Genomic DNA, 21343 nt, shown 5'->3' with positions numbered 1-21343 from the left:
TGGTCTGGCAGCCCAACCACCACCTCTAAGCACAGAGAGTGTGTGGTGTTTATATGCAAAGTGAAGTTATAAGGAGGAATCTGGAAGAAGGCAGCTTGCTTCTAGGTGTGCAGTGAAAGTAGATAGAGGAAGACAGTGAAAAGGGAGAGAAGAACAAAGAAAAGAAAAAAATACACGAGCGTTTTATCCTCCTTTTCTAAATCAAATAGCATTGAACTGTCACATTCCAGAGAAATAATTATTTGTGACATAGAATCCAATCTTGTAACCTTGTACCTGTTCCCCAGTATATCTCATCCTGAAGCTTACCTGCTCTGTAACAAATGCTAATAGTCCCAAGAGCTCAGTCTTACAGGTCCGGGTTCCTAAAAGGGTCATTTTCTGGCACTAGAAAGATGAAGATCAGAACAAGTTGCATGGATAAGATAAGGACACTATGGTAGAATTTTTTTAAAAAAATCAAATCATCTGCTCTCTACTTCTCTATCTACTTGAGGTTTTCTTGCCTGGCATTTGCAAAGAAATTGGGGCTCATGGGTGAATACTTGGATTGCTAAAATGATAAAGTTTGGCTGTTGGTTTTAGTACACTAAAAGTACAAGGGCAAGAAACGTACCACCACTGTGAGAGTTTCTGGGAAGAAAGGGCAGCTTTGAGATTATAGAACCTGGGGCATCTGGAAAAACTGTATTTTTTTTTTCCTGTAGAAGAGACATGGGACCAAAGGCAAGTTTTACTGGTATTGTGGTTATCACATTTGCCCAATACAGTAAAGACCCTTGGTTTGAAACTCAGTAAGATTTATTATTATTATTATTTGAACAGAACTCTTTTGTTTTCTCTCCTGTCCTGGACTTGAAATCGGCTTATCCAAACCCTAGAGACGCTGACACCCCGCATGCTTTCCCCTCCCACCGTTCAGGGCGTTGCCAGCTCCTCCCTCCTGCATGGTCGGCTGGGTTCCACCAGCTCCGCTAGTGTTAACAGGAGGAAGTGTCCCCCTGGTCTGCATCTCCCTGGTGATCTGGTTCTCATCCGAATGCAGACAGCGGAAAGGGAGGGTTTTCCACAAGGAGGTCGGCAAGTATTTCTAGAAAGAAAAGAGCTTCTCTTCTAATTAGAGCACCAAAGACTACGCTACAGTCAGGTGAAGTCATTAGCCAGTTATTTATTATTTTTGTTATGGGAAGCATAATGTTCTACTTTTTATAGAATTCCTTCGAATTGAGTTATCATTGAAGCTACTAGTTGGTTACAACTAAACATTAAAATGTTTATATCTTATAAACATTATATAACATTATATATAATGTTATATAAACATTATATAACATTAAAACATTTATATCTATAAATTTGAAAACTAATCAGTATTTTTTAAAGTATAAAACAATGGGAAGAACATCTAAATACTAGAAATAGGTTTAAAAATTAGTTCATAGATTCATAGATGCATAAATCTTAACAAATTACCTTTCCCAAATTAATTCTATGCCTCTTTGTATAAGTAACTACTGGGAAATATAGTTTATTATACAAAAAAGTACAAACCGATTATTTATCAAATGTTCCTCAACTTAAATTAGGACATCGAGTTTTTATATTATAAATAGTAAATGTGAAAGTGTGTAATTCACCATAATCAAAAAAAAATCGGAGGTGGGGGTGGAGGGAAAGGGGGAGAATTCAGGACTAGTCTTTTAGGTCAAAAAGAAGAAGCTTTGTAACCGTTGGTTTCCGTAGTGTAGTGGTTATCACGTTCGCCTAACACGCGAAAGGTCCCCGGTTCGAAACCGGGCGGAAACAAAGAGAGTCGCTTTTTTTTCTATCGCTAATTCTGTTTTTGAGTATTTTCATTTGAACCAATAGAATCTTTGCTTTTTGCCGAGCACGTGAACCCTCAACTTCTGTACTCCTTCCGTCACCCAGCGACGTGGCGCTGAATCCCGCGTCACACCTTTCTCTACCCCACGCCGAACCCTCACCCTCATCCTCCTTTTCTGATCTCCGTCTGAGTGACCCCGGTGGTGTCAATCCCAATAGGCACCGGAGTCCCAGAACTCCACCCGCCTGCACCTCGCAGGTGAGACAGGCTTTCTTGGAATCCAGAGAGCAGCACTTGCGGGTTTTTCGTGGAGGGGGTTTCCTCGGGGATTTCTAAGGAAGAGCGCTTCGCTTTGAGCCCTTCGGGGAATTGGATTTGCTCTTTTTTTGCTGAAGCACAGAGAGGAAACACTTTTTTTTTTTTTTTTTTTTGAGACAGAGTTTCGCTGTTGTTGCCAGGCTGGAGTGCAGTGGCACGATCTCGGCTCACTGCAACCCCCGCCTCCCGGGTTCAAGCGATTCTCCTCCCTCAGCCTCCCGAGTAGGTGGGATTACCACCACGCTCCGCTAATTTTTGTATTTTTAGTAGAGATGGGGTTTCGCCATGTTGGCCAGGCTTGTCTCGAACTCCTGACCTCAGGTAACCCACCCGCTTCGGCCTCCCACAGTGCTGGGATTACAGGCGTGAGCCTCCGCGCCCGGCCAAAACAAACTTTTTGACAGCTCTTAAACTTTCACCATGGATTGTGCACTTGGACAAGGATATAAAAGTGTGTTTGAATTCGAACCAGTCCAAAGAAAGTCAGCATTTTCTCTTCTGTCCGGTTATCTATTTATTACCTCTCAGCAGCAAAATCACTTTTCCTTGCTCCATAACAATGGAACGGAGCTGGGCCCTTTAAATATTTTCTGTCGCAGTTTAGCTCAATATTAAATTTTGTCAATAGAGGGCGATGGAGAGACATTGCTGGAGGAAATAATCTCTTGGCGTTACTGTGCACAGTGGCCTGGCTCCCACAGCCTGAGCAGTTTACCTAGTAGGAACCTCCTGCAGTGCATGGTGGCCAGCAGTACTTTGGGGGAACCTCCTTTAGAGCATCTCTGGTAACAGACTTCCCCATGAACATTTTTCTTTGGTACTCTAGATGGCACATGACCTGCACCTTCCGCTGGAGCACTTTTTTTCTACCCTCCCAACCTGGATGCAGGTCTGGATCTCAGCCCTGGTGGGGAAGAGAATACTTGCGTGCTCCATCTCAGCCCTCAGCCCTAGGGGTGTTAGCTGCTTCTTATATGGGCCAGCCTGGTCTGGAATCCCTGACCTGAGTTGATCCGCCCACCTCGGCCTCCCAAAGTGCTGGGATTACAGGCATGAGCCACCGCGCGAAGGTGACACATTTCTTTCACTAATATTTACTGAGTGCCTATTATAAACTAGTCTATGTGTTAGACAGTAGGGCTTCATTGGTGAACAAGAACAGACATTGTACCTGCCTTAATAGAACTTACATTCCATTGAGGGAGAAACACATTAATCAAGTTGCCTTACAAACTAATGTAGAACTTGCTACGAGGAGAGATACATTTTGCTATGAGTAATGCAGGTGTCACACACTTAAATGTTTAGGAAAGTCCCTAGAAAATTATTTATTGATTTGGAGTCCAGAGAATGCATTGGAGAAAGGAGAGTTTTCCAAGAATAGGAAATGGCATGTAAAAAGGCCCTGTGGTGGGAGATAACCTTATAAATAAGAGGAATTAATACACTAGGGCCAGTGTAGCTAGCGTACATAAAGCAAAAAAAGGTGTGATTTTAAGTAAGACTAGAGAAGTAGTTAAAGGTCTAGCATGCATGACATTTAAGGCCATTTTAATAATGGCCTCCTCTACCCTTTATCATCTCAGAATATACAGAATCTGAATTATGGTCTAATTTTATCTAAGGGACAGCCTATTACATTTACTTCCAAGAATCTGACAGAATTCATAAAATCAGAAGAATCATGTAAGTCCTTTTGGTCCACTAGGAACAAAAACTACGGTCCTACTGGAATTTCAAGTCTCTGTTGCCCCCTTGGTGTTTTGAGTTTTGTCCTTTTTAACTAAAGTTACAGATGTTAACTGAAGTAAACACTAGAGGTCACAATAATTAAAAGTAGAAAAAATTCCCTGAATTACCTGTCTAGGGAGGTCATAGTCCCCATATACTAGGTCATATACTAGGTCATAGTCCCCATATACTAGGGCTGAGATCCAGACCTGCATCCAGGTTGGGAGGGTAGAAAAAAAGTGCTCCAGCGGAAGGTGCAGGTCGTGTGCCATCTACAGTACCAAAGACAGGTAGTCCCCATATACTACCTGTCTAGGGAGGGAGGTCATAGTCCCCATATGTTAAAAATCAGAAGAAAATCAAATGGCCCTAATAGACCTATTAGGAACATTCCACCCAACAGCAGCAGAACATACATTCTTCTCAAGGGTACACGGAACATTTTCCAGGATAGATCACATTAGGTTACAAAGCATGTCTTTAAAAAATTAAGATCAAAATTACACCAAGTTTCTTTTTCTTCCTTTCTTTTTTTTTTTTTTTTTTTTTGGATACAAGGTCTCGCTCTGTCACCCAGGCTGGAGTGCAGTGGTACAATCTCAGCTCACTGCAACCTCCCAGGTTAAAACAATTCTCATGCTTCAGCCTCTCCAGTAGTTGGGATTACAGATGTGAACCACCACACCCGGCTAATTTTGTTTTTGTTTTGTTTTGTTTTGTTTTTTTTGGAGACAGAGTTTGACTCTTGTTGCCCAGGCTGGAGTGCAACGGCACAATCTCGGCTCACCGCAACCTCTGCCTCCCAGGTTCAAGCAATTCTCCTGCCTCAGCCTCCCAAATTGCTGGGATTACAAGTGCCCGCCACCACGCCCCGCTAATACTGTATTTTTAGTAGAGACAGGGTTTCTCTATGTTGGTCAGGCTAGTCTTGAACTCCCGACCTCAGGTGATCCGCCCGCCTCGGCCTCCCAAAGTGCTGGGATTACAGGCATGAGCCACCGTGCCCGGTTAAACAATCTAATTTTTATACCTCAAAGAAGTAGAAGAACAAATTAAGTCCAAAGTTAGCAGAAGGGACGAAATAATAAAGATTTTTTTTTTTTTTTTTTTTTGAGACAGAGTCATGCTCTGTCACCAGGCTGGAGTGCAGTGGCACGATCTCGGCTCACTGCAACCTCTGCCTCCAGGATTCAAGTAATTCTCCTGTCTCGGCCTCCCGAGTAGCTGGGACTACAGGTGCCCACCAGCACGCCTGGCTAATTTTTGTATTTCTAGTAGAGACCGGGTTTCACTATATTGATCAGGCTGGTCTCCGACTCCTGACCTCAGGTGATCCACCCGCCTAGGCCTCCCAAATTGCTGGGATTACAGGCGTGAGCCACCGCGCCCGGCCTCAAACTCATTTTATGAGGCTAGAAATACCCTGATATCAAAGACAGATACATTACCAAGAAAACTAAAAGCCAGTATCCCTGGTGAACATAGATGCAAAAGTCTTCAACAGAATATTAACAAACTGTATTACTGTATTCAACAGCACATTAAAATAATCATACACCATGAACAAGTGGAATTTATCCTTTGGATGCAAAGATGCTTCACATACAAAAATCAGTTAATTGATGGCATGGCCTTATATAGAGAACACCCTAAAGACTCCATTTTAAAAACTGTCAGTTAAGTTGCAGGATATGAAATCAGCATTAAAAAGCAATTGTGTTTCTATGCACCAACAACAAATTAGCTGAAGAGAAAATTAGGAAGATAATCTCCTAATACAGTGGCACCAAAAATAATAAAATACTTAGTTAAACTTAATTAAGAAAGTGAAACACTTGTGCACTGAAAACCATAAAACATCCATCAAAAAGACACAAACAAATGGAAAGACATCCCACGTGCATAGATTGGAAGACTTAAAGTTTCCATACTACCCAAAGTGATTTACAGATTTAATGCAACCTCTATCAAAATCCCACTGGCATTTGTACAGATACAGAGAAAACAATCCTAAAATTATATGAAACTACAAAGGACCCTGAATCACTAAATAATCTTGAGAAAAAAAACAATAAACCAGGAGGCATTACACTTCTCCAGCCCTCTCTTCTGTTCCATTGGTCTCTATGTTTGTCTTTGTATCAGTATCATACTGGTTTTTTGTTGTTGTTGTTTGGTTTGGTTTGTTGTTTTTGTTGTTGTTGTTGTTGCTGCTACTGCTGCTGCTGTTTAAGACAAGGTCTCAGGCAGGGCTCAGTGGCTCACACCTGTAATTCCAGCACTTTGGGATGCTGACGGGGGTGGATTGCTTGAGCCCAGGAGTTCGAGACCAGACTGGGCAACATGGTAAAATCCCATCTCTACAAAAATTACAGAAAATTAGCCAGGCCTGGTGGCCTGCCCCTGTAGTCTCAGCTACTCGGGAGGCTAAGGTGGGAGGATCGCTTGAGCCCAGGAGGTGGAGGTTGCAGTGAGCAGAGATTGCGCAACTGCATTCCAGGTTGGGCAACAGGGCAAACATAGGAGAAAAGCTTCAGAACATTGGTCTTGGCAATTACTTCATGGATAAGACACCAAAAGCACAGGCAAAAATAGAAAAATTGGACTATTCCAAATGAAGGAGCCGCCACAGCAAAGGAAACAATCGAGTGAATTCTATAGGTTATAGAATGGGAGAAAGTATTTGCAAACCATATACCTGTTAAGGAGTTAATTTCCAAAATGCAGAACTGCTACAACTCAGTAGCAAAACAAACAAACCTCTAACAATCTGATTTAAGAAGGGCTAATAGACATTTATCCAAAGGAGACATGCAAATGAGCAACAATGTTCAATGTCACTAATCATCAAAAAAATGCAAATCAACCTGACAATGAGATTCACATCACACCTGTTAGGATAGCTATTATGAAAAACAAACAAACAAACAAATAACAAAAACAAAAGGCAACATGTGGAAAATTGGAACCCTTGTTTCTACACTGTAGGTGGGAATACAAAATGATACAGTCACTGTAGAAAACAGTATGGTGTTTCCTCCAAAAAATTTAAAATGTGACTACCTTATGATTATGCTGGCTATTTATCCAAAAGAACTGAAATAAGAATCTGAAAGACACATACCACTTCTGTATTCATTGCAACCAATGAATTCACAACTGTCAAGATGTGGAGGCTGGGTGCGCAGTTGTGCACGCCTGTAATCCCAGCACTTTGGGAGGCTGATTCGGGTGGATCTCTTGAGGCCAGCAGTTTGAGACCAGCCTGGCCAACATGACGAAACCCCATCTCTACTAAAAATATAAAAATTAGCCGGGCATAGTGGCGCATGCTTGTAATCCCAGATACTCGGGAGGCTGGGGCACAAATCGCTTGAACCCAGGAGGTGGAGATTGCAATGAGCCGAGATAGTGCCACTGCACTCTAGCCTGGGCGACAGAGCAAGATTGTCTCAAGAAGAAAGAAAGAAAGAGAGAGAGAGAGAGAGAGAGAGAGAGAAAGAAAGGAAAGAAAGAAAATAAAAGGAAAGAAAGAAAAAAGAAAAAAAAAGTGGAAACAGGCCTGGCACAGTGGCTCACACCTATAATCCCAGCATTTTCAAAGGCTGAGGCAGGAGATCAGGAGTTTGAGGAACAAGAGAAAGAAAAAATTTTAAGTTTTAGTTATTTGATGTGGGTTTTATTATACATTTTGCTAGGAAGAGTAAAGGTCAATTTTTCTTGTGATTTAAAATATGTATTTTATTATAGTAAGAACACTTGACATGAGATTTATGTTCTTAACAAATTTAAATGTATAATATACAGTTGTCCCTTGCTTTGTGGCAGAGATTGATTCCAGGACCTCAGGCATATTCCAAAATCCCCTCATAATCAAGTCCTGCAGTTGGTCCTCTGAAATCTGCCCCGCCTGCATGAAAAGTCAGCTCTCTCTTTGTGCAGGTTTCACATCTTGCCAATAGTGCATTTTTGATCTGCTAGTTTGGTTGAAAAAAAATCCACATATAACTGGACCAATGCAGTTCAAACCTGTATTGTTCAAGAGTCAACTGTAGTATCGTTAACTATAGGCACAATGTTGTACAGAGATTTCTAGAACTTTTCCATCATGTATGATATGGTTTGATTGTGTCCCCACTCAAATCTCACCTTGAATTGTAATAATCCCCACGTGTAAAGCATGGGGCCAGGTGGATATATTGAATCAAGGGGGTGGTTTCCCCCATACTGTTCCTGTGGTAGTGAATAAGTCTTACGAGATCTGATGGTTTTATAAACGGGAGTTCCCCTGCACAAGCTCTCTTGCCTGTGGCTATGTAAGACATGTCTTTGCTTCTTCTTTGCCTTCTGCGGTGATTGTGAGGCCTCCCCAGACACATGATACTGTGAGTCCATAAAACCTCTTTCCTTTATAAATTACCCACTCTCAGGTATGTCTTTATTAGCAGTGTGAGAACAGACTAATACAATGTATAACTGCAACTTTGTTGATTAGCAACTTCCTGTTTCCCCTTCTCCCAAGCCCCTGGCAACCACCATTCTCTCTGATTCTGAGTTTGATCGTTTTAGATATCTCAAGTAGAATTAAGTAGTTTACAAATTAAATTTGTTAATATAACAAATTAAGATTAATAGAGGTTAATCTAAAATAGAATTAATTTGTTCTTTTAATGGCTTATTTCACTTCGCATATTATCCTCCAGGTTCATTTTCTTTTTTATTATTATTTTATTTGATTTGATTTTGAGATGGAGTTTCACTCTTGTCACCCAGGCTGGAGTGCAATGGTGCAGTCTCAGCTCACTGCAACCTCTGCCTCCCTGGTTCAAGGGATTCTCCTGCCTCAGCCTCCCGAGTACTTGGGACTACAGACGTGCACCACCACACCCAGCTAATTTTGTATTTTTAGTAAAGATGGGGTTTCACCATGTTGGCCAGGGTAGTCTCAAACTCCTGATCTCAGGTGATCTGCCTGCCTTGGCGTCCCAAAGTGCTGGAATTACAGGCATGAGCCACCAATCCCAGTCAAGGTTCATTTTCTTCATCCACTCATCTGATGGTGGACATTCAGTTTGTTTTACATTTTTAAAAAATTTTTATTTTTGTAGAGACAGGGTCTCGCTATATTACCCAGGCTTGGCACTTGGTCCACTTATACATGGATTTTTTTTCATCCAAACTCGCAGATCAAAAATGCACTATTGGCAAGATGCAAAACCTGCACAAAGGGAGAGCTGACTCTTCATGTAGGCGGGGCAGATTTCAGAGGGCAAGTCGCAGGACTTGACTATGCAGGGATTTTGGAATATGCCTGAGGTCCTGGAATCAATCTCTGCCACAAAGCAAGGGACAAATGTATAGCACACATTTAAATTTGTTAAGAACATAAATCTCATGTCAAGTGCTCGTACTACAATAAAATACATTTCTTAAATCAAAAGAAAAATTGACCTTTACTCTTTCTAGCAAAATGTATAATAAAACCCACATCAAATAACTAAAACTTAAAATCTTTTATTTCTCTCATTCCTCAATTCTGATAAATCCTGCCACTGTCCCAGCAAATCTAGGGCCCCACAAATCTAGTACATACCCGCACCACTGCAACTCCAGGAAAGGCTGAGTTCTCTCCCCCAGCTCCTGACTGTCTTGAATTTCTGAACTTCACCTCATGTTGGCCTGAATTTACAGAACTGTGTGACTGCCCATTTAACCCACTGAAGAATAGTCTCCCCATAATCATTGGACACTGATGGCAACTGCTGAGTGCCCAACCTAGGAGACCTTATGGCTAGAGAGACCGATCCCACTCTACTACCCCACCCAACATCCCAGATAGATGCAGGCTGGCATTGACACAGAGCAGAAATGTCTGGAGCAAAGAGATATAGATCAAGCCCAGCTATGAACTAAGTCTCTGGAGGTCTTTTTAGGTGATGGGGATTAGAGGGATGGAGGGAACTGAAAAAGAAAGGGGGATCAGCCAAATCAAGTTAAGCAGTCTGATTAAAGGACACATATTCCTGAAGATCCTGAAGGCAGAAACCTTGTCTTATCTCCTTCATCTGCAACTCATCCCAAACCACAACTTCACCCCTCCCCCAGACAAACACAACCTTCACAGAAGAGTTTTGAAAAGATTTCTGGAAATAAAATAAAGTTTCCAGAGACAGTTGAGGTCTTTTGTCTGGTCACCACTGGTTAAAATAAATAAGCAAACTTTTTATTGATATCACAACATCTGCTTATGTGCTTACTGGCCATTGACATATTCTATTTTGGAAGCGCCTGTTCAGGTCTTTTGATCATATTCCTAAAAATAAAAGGTAAATGATGTGGCCAGGCACAGTGGCTCACGCCTGTAATCCCAGGGTTTTGGGAGGCCGAGGCAGGGGGATCACCTGAGGTCGGGAGTTCGAGACCAGCCTGACCAACATGGAGTAACCCGGTCTCTAATAAAAATACAAAATTAGCGGGGTGTTGTGGCGGGAGCCTGTAATCCCAGCTACTCGGGAGGCTGAGGTAGGAGAATTGTTTGAACCTGGGAGATGGAGGTTGTGGTGAGCCAAGATGGCTCAAAAAAATAAATAAAATAAAAATAAATAAATAAAAGGTAAATGATTATGTAAGTGGGGGGGGGGGTCGTGGAGCATAGGCTATTTCCATGACCTTGGGGAAACAAAGATTTCATAGGGAGATACAAAAATAAGTAAACAAAATTGAAATAAATTTGACTTCGTGAAAATTTAACAATTTTATCACAAGACACCATTAAGCTGTTTCTCAAACACAGGTGGGAAGAAGATATTCACACTACAAGTATCCAGCAAAAAACTCTTACGTGATATATACAAAATCAATAATACAAACCCCAATAAAATATGCTGTTGTGATTCAAAAGGGAACTCTGTTCCGTTTTATAAACCGTGAGAGGCTGGGCACAGTGGCTCACACCTGTAATCTTGGCACTTTGAGAAGCCGAGACGGGAGTATCCTTTGAGCTCAGGGGTTCGAGAGCAGCCTGGGCAACATGGCGAAACCCCCGTCTCTACTGAAAATACAAAAATTGGCGGACGCATGTAGTCCCAGCTACTGGGAAAGCGGAGATGGGAGAATCGCTTGAGCCCGGGAGGCAGAGGCGGCAGTGATCCAAGATCGTGGCATTGCACTCCAGCCTGGGGACAGAGAGAGACCCTAACTGCCGCACCGCCCCCCCACCAAAAACAAACAAAAACAAAAACAAACAAACAACAACAAAAACCTTGAAAGCCTCACTCTTTCCTAATTGAGAAGGGTGACCAGGCTCACCAGCAGGTGGGACCTGTAATGTGGCAGTGCCTTAGGCTACTAACCTGGGTCACATCAGCATAGAGACTGAGGTTAGTTAGGGCCCCATAGCGATCCTTCTCTTGGGACAGCATTGGCTCCTTCAGCTGGGGTGGAGTTCGATGAAACAAGTTACCCAAGCTGAAATAGAGAGGGGAGTGGGAAGAATCTGGGAGGTATTTCCGCCCAGTTTCAGACGGAGGGTCCTTCCAGGGTGAAGTGAACGTGAGAACTACTACTCTAGAGAAACTACTGTAACAACCATTGTCATATTTGCGGCGCTTTTTCCCTTTCCTTATACATTCCACGTAACAAAACCAAAAATACCAAAACTCTAGACTCAAGATCCAGGAAGGCTTTCCGCAGGGACACAAAATCTCACAAACCCCAGGCCAATAAACCTCGGGCAGAACACACAGAAATTTGATTTAAATTTCAAAACTGTTATACAGTCCTATGACTTGTTTCTCTGTCCTTTCAATGCACACAGACATTCACTTCTTGATTACAGAGAACGACTTTTAAAACCCACTTTGTAAGGAAGGAGCCCAGGAGACCTCCAGCACTTTTCTGCAGAGAAATACTCACAGGGAGAGACTGTCGATTGAGATGGGGCCAGGGGGCTGCCTGTGACTGGTTATCTTCCAGGTCAGCAAGAGGGCAGGGGCCAGTGCTACACAGCTGTCTTACAAAAGGTAAAATTAGGACCACTTGACTTAGCTTCTTCCGATTCTCACACAATTCCCTGCCATTCCCATTCAGCTATCGTCTCACTTAATCTGCTTTTTGCGTATTGCTATGATTTTAACCTTGGTATTGTGCTTTTTGTTTTTATTTGTTTTGATCTTTTGTTTTTTGTTTCTTAGATTTTACTTCACTTTGAAAAATCTACCCGTCTTGGTACATACGCAGCTGCTTCGTTAGTTGTGACTCTGCACAGCATGAAGTTTATACCCACCTGCTCCGATGACAGACAGGCAGGTTGCTTCAACTCTGTTACCGCATATCACTACAATGATTAGTCTCATTTAATCCACTAGAATGATAAACTGAAATGTCACTGAGGGATATTCCTAGAAGTGGGATTGCTGGGTATTAGACAAAAAGCTATGCAAAAATAAAAACTCAATGCCTGCAGAGCAAAATCTAAGAACTATATTTTTTAAGAATAAAATCCTACTTTTATTCCATGTAGAAATTCATACATATAATATTTTTGTCGTGACAAATCGAAACAGAGGAAGGACATGTAACTCACGTTGGTCTGAGGAAACCTCCCAAGGGAAGATTATTCTTGAGGTATATCTAAAATTTGAGTAAACTTGTGGTGAAGAAGAAGGGAAGTTATTTTGAGCAGAGGGAAAATTTAAGTTTAACAAGTTATTTACTGTTAATTAACATTTCTTTTACTTTAATGATCTAGGAAAATTTTCTGCAATATGATAATATTTTGTGGGGCTATCTTCTTCAAAGTTTCAAAGTAAAGTAGAAAAACTTGTTTTATAGAATCTGATGGCAGATTATTCTGCATGTGGGGAAGATCAGTGAATTTCCCAGTAATTCTGTCCCCAGAAAAACCCCAGAACCCCAACTATGCCTGTCCTGCCAATTGACACTCTTAGCTTGTCATCATGTCTTTCTTCCTAGCATTAGTACAGTTTCAAGTATCTTTTGTTTTGTATGAAGCAGGGTTCAGTCTCTGCAGTAGAAGTGTAATTTTTGCCTTGGCCTACAAACTCATCTAGGTCAATCCAAGATGAGAGTTTTTTATTTGTATAGCATGATCTTTCAAGCTTCATGGGTAGAATACCTTACTTTTTCTTTTTTTATTTTTTAATTTTATTTATTTATTTTTTGAGATGGAGTTTCGCTCTTGATAGCCAGGCTGGAAGTTCATTGGTGTGGTCTTGGCTCACTGCAACCTCCGCCTCAAGGGTTCAAGCGTTTCTCCTGCCTCAGCCTCCCAAATACCTGGGATTACAGGTGCCTGCCACCACGCCCAGCTAATTTTTGTGTTTTTAGTAGAGGCACGGTTTCACCATGTTGGCCAGACTGGTCTCGAACTCCTGACTCAGGTGATCCACCGGCCTCGGCCTCCCAAAGTGCTGGGATTACAAGCGTGAGCCACCGCACCCAGCCACTTTTTATTCTTCTACAGTCTTCATGGATTGCCTGATTTTGCGTCATAGTTGTAACAGATAATCTAATATTGTGCAAATGTGATATTGAGTATGGCCAGGATCCTGTTTTATTGTGCTCACCACAAAGAAATAAATCACGCTCAGCCTCCTGCAGAGGGCAATTTGGCAGAATCCATCAACATTTCAAATGCATATATCATATGTCCCTTGATGTGCATTTCACAAGTGTACAAAGGATGCTTGCAGGCATAACGATTATGTTCTAATTATTCACTTGATATTATTTGTAATATAAAGATTAAGAAAAAGCTATTTATCTTAAGTATATAATCAGTTAAATAAATTATGCCATATATACGAAATATAACAGTTTTCATTTATTTATTTAAAAGTGGCACAATCTCGGCTCACAGTAACCTCTGCCTCCCTGTTTCAAGAGATTCTCCTGCCTCAGCCTCCTGAGTAGCTGGGACTACAGGCCACTAAGCCTGACTAATTTTTGTGTTATTAGTAGAGACGGGGTTTTACCATGTTGGCCAGGCTGGTCTCAACCTCCTGACCTCAAGTGATCCGCCCGCCTCGACGTCTCAAAGTGCTGGAATTACAGGCGTGAGCCACTGGGCCTGGCCCCTCCTTATGCTTTTTTTATTTATTTATTTTTTGAGACGAAGTCGCACTCTGTCGCCCAGGCTGGAGTGCAGTGGCGCGATCTCGGCTCACTGCAAGCTCCGCCTCCTGGGTTCACGCCCTTCTCCTGTCTCAGCCTCCTGAGTAGCTGGGACTACAGGCGCCCGCCACCACGCCCGGCTAATTTTTTGTATTTTTTAGTAGAGACGGGGTTTCACAGTGTTAGCCAGGATGGTCTCAATCTCCTGACCTTGTGATCTGCCCGCCTCGGCCTCCCAAAGTGCTGGGATTACAGGCGTGAGCCACCGCGCCCGGCCTCCTTATGCTCTTTTAAATATACAGACTGGGCCAGGGTGGAAGAGAATATGTATTTGTATTAGACTGTATTTGCACTTTTAAAAATCTCTGGAAAGATAGCAGGAAATTCATGACAATGGTAGCCTGTTTAAAATGCTAGGAACTGTACTTTGACATGATAGCACGTAAGAAAAATAAATTAATTAAATTAAAAAGCTGGGAACTGGGTGGATGAGAAAGAGGAAGGTGATATTAGCTGCATTTTTTTTTCTGTACTCAAGATGTTTGAACCAAGTGAATGTGTTACTTATCATAAAAATTAAGCCAGGCAGGGTGGCATGTACCTATAATTCTAGCTACTTGGGAGTCTGAGATAGGAGTGTAGCTTGAGCCTAGGAGTTCGAGACCAGCCTGGGTAACCTAGCGAGACCTTGTCTCAAAAAACTGTTTTCAATTAATAAAATTAAATAATTTAACACATACTGTAAGCATATAGTAAAGTGGCAATAATAGTATCTGGAATGGTGAATGAAGCCAAGTTATTTATTCAAAAAATAATCCAAGAAAAAATTGTAGACATCTAATAAGCAAGGCAGGAAACCACAGGTGTCCTCCCTAAGGGTGTCTGCAGTAGTGACAAGGAGCTACTATTCTCCAACTAGGAAGGAGACTCCACTTGAAAAGCGAGAGAACAATGATTCACAGAATTACTTTGACGTGAAAGAAAGGTAAGGCAAAAAGGGTAGGAGTCTCCCTAATGGCGTCCAAGACTGGCTTTGGACAGCCTATTAAGTGAGACCTGGGAATATTATTTTATTTTTTTATTTTCTTATTTTATTTTATTTTATTTTATTTTTTATTTTATTTTATTTTATTTTGAGACGGAGTCTGGCTCTTGTCCCCTAGGCTGGAGTGCAATGGCACAATCTCGGCTCACTGCAACCTCCACCTCCCGGGTTCAAGCGATTCTCCTGCCTCAGCCTCCCAAGTGCTGGGATTACAGCATGAGCCACCGCACCCAGCCTGTGTCTAATTTTTGTTCAACCCAATGATTCTCCTAAAATTCCCAGGTCTCAGGCCGGGTGCGGTGGCTCACGCCTGTAATCCCAGCACTTTGGAAGTCCGAGGCGGGTGGATCACGCAGTCAGGAGTTCAAGACCAGCCTGGCCAAGATGGTGAAACCCCATCTCTGCTACAAATACAAACATTAGCCGGGCGTGGTGGCAGGCGCCTGTAATCCCAGCTACTCCGGAGGCTGAGACAGGAGAATCGCTTGAGCCCGGGAGGCGGAGGCAGCAGTGAGCCGTGATCGCGCCACTGCACTCCAACCTGGGCAACAAAGAGGGAAACTCTGTCTCAAAAAAAAAAAAAAAAAAAAAAAAAAAAGGAGCTATGTCTATACAGTCCAGCTTCAGTGATCCGGTGCGCAGTGTCTCACGCCTGCAATCCCAGCACTTTAGTTGGTTGAAGCGGATGGATCACTTGAGCCAGGAGTTAGAAGCTAGCCCTGGCAACATAATTAAGACACCGTCTCTACAAAAAAAAATTTAAAAATTAGCCAGCCTTTAGTCGCTTATGCTGAGGAGGGAGGATCACTTTAGCCCAGGAGTTCAAGTGAGCTGATTACGCCCTGCCCTCCAGCCTGGACTACAAAGCAAGACCCTGCCTTCTCGCCGGTGGGTGTGGGGCGAGTCGCAATAGTGGTTCCCTCCGCATAGTGATTGGAAAGGAACTTAGGGTGCTCTTGAGCTGCATGCTGGTAGGCGGGGTTTATTCGGTTTGTGGAGAATCATCCAGATGAATATTTATATGTGAGAGGTTGATTTTTTTTTAAGGAATTGGCTTATGCAACTGTGAACCTGGCTAGTAATTGCTAAATCCATAGGGCAGGCTGTCAGAAAAGGCAAGCCATCGGAAAGGACAGGCTGGAAACAATATAGAAAATCAATGAAACCAAAAGTTGGTTCTTTGAAAAGTTCACCAAAATTGACAAACATTTAGCTAAATGAACCAAGAAAAAAGAAGAGCGGGCCGGGCGCGGTGGCTCATGCCTGTAACTGTAGCACTTTCGGAGGCCGAAGTGGGCAGATCACCTGAGGTCAGGAGTTCGAGACCAGCCTGGCCAACATGGCGAGAGCCCCGTCTCTACTAAAAATACAAAAGTTAGCCTAGCGTTGTGGCGGCGCCTGTAATCCCAGCTACTCAGGAGACTGAGGCAGGAGAATCGTCTGAACCCAGGAGGCGGAGGTTGCAGTGAGCCGAAATGGCACCACCGAAGTCTGGGCAATAGAGTGAGACTCTGTCTCAAAAAACAAACAAACAAATAAACAAGAGAGGAGACGCAGAAGACTAAAATCAGAAATGAAAGTGGAGGCGTCCGCTCCACCTACGCTGAGCCCGAGGCGGGAAGCTCTGGACACAGCCATTGACTGGCTGGCTGGGGCGCAGCTTGATGGCGTCAGGCTGACGAGCCGCAGTCCCTACGGCTGCACCTGGGCGAAGGCCGCCTGTGTGAGAGGCCGGTGGCCCCAGCGTGCCGCGGCCTTGGAAGTGGGAAATGGAGGCAGGAGCCCTCCCTACACTTCACCATAGGCTTCCTGATTGATTCCAGCATCGTGATTACCTCCCAGATACTATTTTTTTTTAATTTGGGTGGCTTTTCTTCATGTGCCAATTGTTTAAGAACTATGAGGTGCGTCAGTATGTTGTACAGGTGATCTTCTCTGTGACGTTTGCATTTTCTTGCACTATGTTTGAGCTCATCATCTTTGAAATCTTTGGAGTATTGAGTAGCAGCTGTCGTTATTTTTACTGGAAATTGAACCTAGGTGTAATTCTGCTGATTCTGGTTTTCATGGTGCGTTTTTAAACTGGCTATTTTATTGTGAGCAACATCCGACTACTTTTGTCTCCTCTGTCTTAGTGCATAAACAACGACTGCTTTTTTCCTGTCTCTTGTGGTTGACCTTTATCTGTTTTTTCTGGAAACTAGGAGATTCCTTTCCCATTCTCAGCCCAAAACATGGGATCTTATCCATAGAACAGCTCATCAGCTGGGTTGGTGTGATTGGAGTTACTCTCATGGCCCTCCTTTCTGGATTTGGTGCCGTCTACTGCACATACACTTTGATGTCTTATTTCCTCAGGAATGTGACTGACACAGATATTCTAGCCCTGGAACAGCGACTGCTCCAAACCATGGATATGATCATAACCACAAAGAAAAGGATGGCAATGGCACAGAGAACGATGTTCCAGAAAGGGGAGGTGCATAACAAACCATCAGGATTCTGGGGAATGATAGAAAGTATTACCACTTACTCAACAGGAAGTGGATGCTTTGGAAGAACTAAGCAGGCAGCTTTTTCTGAAAACAGCTGATCTGTACGCTACCAAGGAGAGAACAGAATACTCCAAAACCTTCAAAAGGAAATATTTCAATTTTCTGGGTTACTTTTTCTCTATTTACTGTGTTTGAAAAATTTTCATGGCACCATCAACATTGCTTTTGATCGAGTTGGGAAAATGGATCCTGTCACAAGAGGCGTTGAGATCACTGTGAATTATCTGGGAATCCAGTGTGATGTGAAATTTTGGTCCCAACACATTTCCTCCATTCTTGTTGGAATAATCATCGCCACATCCATCAGAGGATTGCTCATACCACGTTCTTTTATGCCATCTCTAGCAGTAAGTCCTCCAGTGTCAATGTCCTGCTATTAGCACAGATAATGGGCATGTACTTTGTCTCCTCTGCGCTTCTAATCTGAATGAGTATGCCTCTAGAATATGCACCATAATTACCGAAGTCCTTGGAGAACTGCAGTTCAATTTCTGTTACCATTGGTTTGATGTGATCTTCCTGGTCAGCAGTCTCTCTAGCATAGTGTTTCTCTATTTGGCTCACTAACAGGCACCAGAGAAGCATATGACACCTTGAACTTAGGGCTACTACAGACTGTTAGAGGCCAGTGGTCTCAAAATTTAGATATGAAAGGGGAAAAAAATGGAGGGGACCAGGGTCTAACATTTTATAAACAAACAAAATGCTGTGGTAGCATTTTTTACCTCTAGCATCCTCTTTCCTACTCAGGTGATACTGTGATCACGAGTAGCATCAGCTAGAACATGAGAGAGAGCAGTAACTCAAGGCAATACTCAGCAGAGAGCATCCTATGTGGACCTGAGGCTGGTGCAATGGCGGAGAGGAACCGAAAAACTAAGAGGGAAAAATACACCGGAACTCTGGGGCAAGAGATGTCTATGGTAGCTGGGCCAAACACATAGGATATCCATTTTCAGGTTCACATGGAGGTGGTCATAGCTTTCCCTTGAGATTGACTGTCATGAAAATCAGAGATTGTAATGAAAAGAATAAACAGGAAGAAAAGGAAAGAAGGAAAGAAAGGAAGGAAGGAAGGAAAAGAAGAAACATTACGAATTTACAGAAATCAAAAGGATTATAAAAGAATATTGTGAAGAATTGTATGCCAGCAAATTGGATAACCTAGATGAAGTGGATAAGCTCCTAGAAACAATCTATTAAAATTTAATTAAAAAGAAATAAAAAATGTGAATAGACCTATAACTAGTAAGGATACTGAAGCAGTACGATACAAAAATGTATCCACAAATTACTAGCAAACTAAAGTTAGCAATATGTTTTGGGTTTGTTTTTGTTTTTGTTTTTTGAGATGGAGTCTTGCTCTACCAACCAGGCTGGAGTGTAGTGGCGTGAGCTCAGCTTACTACAACCTCCACCTCCCAGATTCAAGCAATTCTCCTGCCTCGGCCTCCCGAGTAGCTGGGACTAAAGGCACACGCCGCCACACCCAGCTAATTTTTTGTATTTTAGTAGAGACGGGGTTTCACTGTGTTGCCCAGGCTGGTCGTGAACTCCTGAGCTCAGGCAATCCTCTGCTTTGGCCTCCCAAAGTGCTGGGATTACAGGCATGAGCCACCATGCCTGGTTAGCAATATGTTAAGAAGATTATACACTACGAAAAAGTAAGATTTATTCCTGGAATGTGAGGATAATTCAACATACAAATATCAGTCAATGTAATATATACCACATTAACAGAATGGAAAAAAATTACATAATCATCTCCATTGATACAGAAAAAGCATTTGACAAAATCCCACACCCTTTCGTGAAAAACAAACAAACAAAAAAACCTACCCAATGAACTAGAAATAGAAGAAAACTTCCTTAACATCATAAAGGCTACTTATGATTAACCTTCAACTAACATCATATTCAATAGTGAAAGGCTGGCCAGGCGCGGTGGCTCGCGCCTGTAATCCCAGCACTTTGGGAGGCGGAAGCAGGCGGATCACCTGAGGTCAGGAATTGAAACCAGCCTGGACAACATGGCAAAACCCCATCTCTACTGAAAATACAAAAAAATTAGCCGGGCATGGCGTGCGCCTGTAGTCCCAGCTACTCAGGAGGCTGAGGCACGGGAATCACTTGAACCTGGGAGGCAGAGGTTGCAGTGAGCTGAGATCTCACCACTGTACTCCAGCCTGGGCGACAGAGTGAGACACCGTCTCAATTAAAAAAAAAAAATAGTGAAAGACTGAAAACTTTTTTTCCAAGATCAGTAAAAGACAAAAATGCCCACATTCACCACTCTATTCAGCATAGTGTTGGCAGTTCTAGCCACAGAAAGTAGGCAAGAAAGTGAAATAAAAAGCATCCCAGCTGGCTCTGTGGCTCATGCCTATAATCCCAACACTTTGGGAGGCAGAGGCAGGAGGATCGCTTGGGCCAAGTAGTTCGAGACCAGCGCAGGCAATATGGCCAAACCCTGTCTCTACCAAGAATACAAAAATTAGTTGGGTGTGGGTGGGAGGATCGCTGGAGCCCGGGAAGTCGATGCTGCGAGGAGCCATGATTGCGCCACTGCACTCCAGCATGGGTAATCTCCTGTCTCAAAAAATAAACAAATAAAATAAATTTAAAAGTTTAAATTTAAAAAAGAAACTCGTATGCCAATGTTTCACGGCAACATTATTGATTTGGGTTGATTCCACCTGTTGACTATTCAGAAAGCCTAAAAGGAGTAAAAATTTTGATACATGCTGTAATATGAATAAAGAGTGAGAACATTATTCAAAGTGAAATAAGCCAAACATAAAGGACAAATATATGATTTCCACAATAGTAAAATTCATAGAGACAGAAAGAGTAGTTACCAAGAGCTGGGGAAGTGAAGAGAAATGGGGAGTTATTATTTAAAGGATACAGAGTTTCAATTTTGGATGAGAAAAAGTTCTGGAGATGGATAACGGGGATGGTTGCAAGATGATGTGAATGTACTTAATTCTACTGAAATGTACACTTAAAACTAATTCAAACAACAAATTTTATATTATGTATATCTTACCACAGTTTTTTTTTTTTTTTTTTTTTTTTGAGACAGAGTCTCGCTCTTTCGCCCAGGCTGGAGTGCAGTGGCGCTATCTTGGCTCACTGCAAGCTCCACCTCCCGGGTTCACGCCATTCTCCTGCCTCAGCCTCCCAAGTAGCTGGGACTATAGGCGCCTGCCACGGCGCCCAGCTAATTTTTTGTATTTTGAGTAGAGACGGGGTTTCACCATGTTAGCCAGGATGGTCTCAATCTCCTGACCTCGTGATCCGCCCGCCTCGGCCACCCAAAGTGCTGGGATTACAGGCGTGAGCCACCGCGCCCGGCCCTTACCACAGTTTTTAAAAGGCCCTAAAAATATGTAAGGATGTAAAGTAAGTGGTTTAGAAAAGTAAAGGGATAGGCTGGGCGCGATGGCTCATGCCTGCATTCCCAGCACTTTGGGAGGCCAAGGCAGGCGGATCACGAGGTCAGGAGTTAGAGACCAGCCTGGCCAATATGGTGAAACCACATCTCTACTAAAAATACAAAAATTAGCCAGGCATGGTGGCGCACGCCTGTAGTCCCAGCTGCTTGGGAGGCTGAGGCAGAAGAATCACTTGAACCCAGGAGGCAAAGATTGCGGTGAGCTGAGATCACGCCACTGCACTCCAGCTTGGGTGACAGAGTGAGACTCTGTCTCAAAAAAAAAAGAAAAGTAAAGG

The 21343-nt window shown here is 42.8% G+C and overlaps 1 non-coding gene and 1 pseudogene across 1 annotated transcript, besides 7 other annotated features; both read left to right on the top strand.

Annotated features, from left to right (window-relative positions):
- Positions 1631-1770: a silencer, noted in NCBI's record as "silent region_17038". NCBI's record gives its function as "represses an Ori minimal core promoter by ATAC-STARR-seq in GM12878 lymphoblastoid cells {active_cell/tissue: GM12878}" and the evidence as "EXISTENCE:reporter gene assay evidence [ECO:0000049][PMID:35858748]".
- TRV-AAC1-5 (tRNA-Val (anticodon AAC) 1-5) lies at positions 1734-1806 on the top strand. Its single transcript has one exon. It is a non-coding gene; the product is annotated as a tRNA-Val (tRNA).
- Positions 2221-2310: an enhancer, noted in NCBI's record as "active region_24305". NCBI's record gives its function as "activates an Ori minimal core promoter by ATAC-STARR-seq in GM12878 lymphoblastoid cells {active_cell/tissue: GM12878}" and the evidence as "EXISTENCE:reporter gene assay evidence [ECO:0000049][PMID:35858748]".
- Positions 2481-2540: an enhancer, noted in NCBI's record as "active region_24304". NCBI's record gives its function as "activates an Ori minimal core promoter by ATAC-STARR-seq in GM12878 lymphoblastoid cells {active_cell/tissue: GM12878}" and the evidence as "EXISTENCE:reporter gene assay evidence [ECO:0000049][PMID:35858748]".
- Positions 8129-8208: an enhancer, noted in NCBI's record as "active region_24303". NCBI's record gives its function as "activates an Ori minimal core promoter by ATAC-STARR-seq in GM12878 lymphoblastoid cells {active_cell/tissue: GM12878}" and the evidence as "EXISTENCE:reporter gene assay evidence [ECO:0000049][PMID:35858748]".
- Positions 16433-17632: an enhancer, noted in NCBI's record as "BRD4-independent group 4 enhancer chr6:27705353-27706552 (GRCh37/hg19 assembly coordinates)". NCBI's record gives its function as "activates an origin of replication core promoter dependent on BRD2, P300/CBP, MED14 and CDK7 cofactors, and independent of BRD4, by STARR-seq in HCT116 cells {active_cell/tissue: HCT116}" and the evidence as "EXISTENCE:reporter gene assay evidence [ECO:0000049][PMID:35650434]".
- Positions 16500-16839: an enhancer, noted in NCBI's record as "active region_24302". NCBI's record gives its function as "activates an Ori minimal core promoter by ATAC-STARR-seq in GM12878 lymphoblastoid cells {active_cell/tissue: GM12878}" and the evidence as "EXISTENCE:reporter gene assay evidence [ECO:0000049][PMID:35858748]".
- On the top strand, positions 16692-18631 carry GPR89P (G protein-coupled receptor 89 pseudogene; annotated as a pseudogene).
- Positions 16850-16969: an enhancer, noted in NCBI's record as "active region_24301". NCBI's record gives its function as "activates an Ori minimal core promoter by ATAC-STARR-seq in GM12878 lymphoblastoid cells {active_cell/tissue: GM12878}" and the evidence as "EXISTENCE:reporter gene assay evidence [ECO:0000049][PMID:35858748]".

This window comes from Homo sapiens, chromosome 6, assembly GCF_000001405.40.
Source record: "Homo sapiens chromosome 6, GRCh38.p14 Primary Assembly".
Taxonomy (NCBI): Eukaryota; Metazoa; Chordata; class Mammalia; order Primates; family Hominidae; genus Homo; species Homo sapiens.
This window is presented reverse-complemented; position numbering and strand designations above follow the sequence as displayed.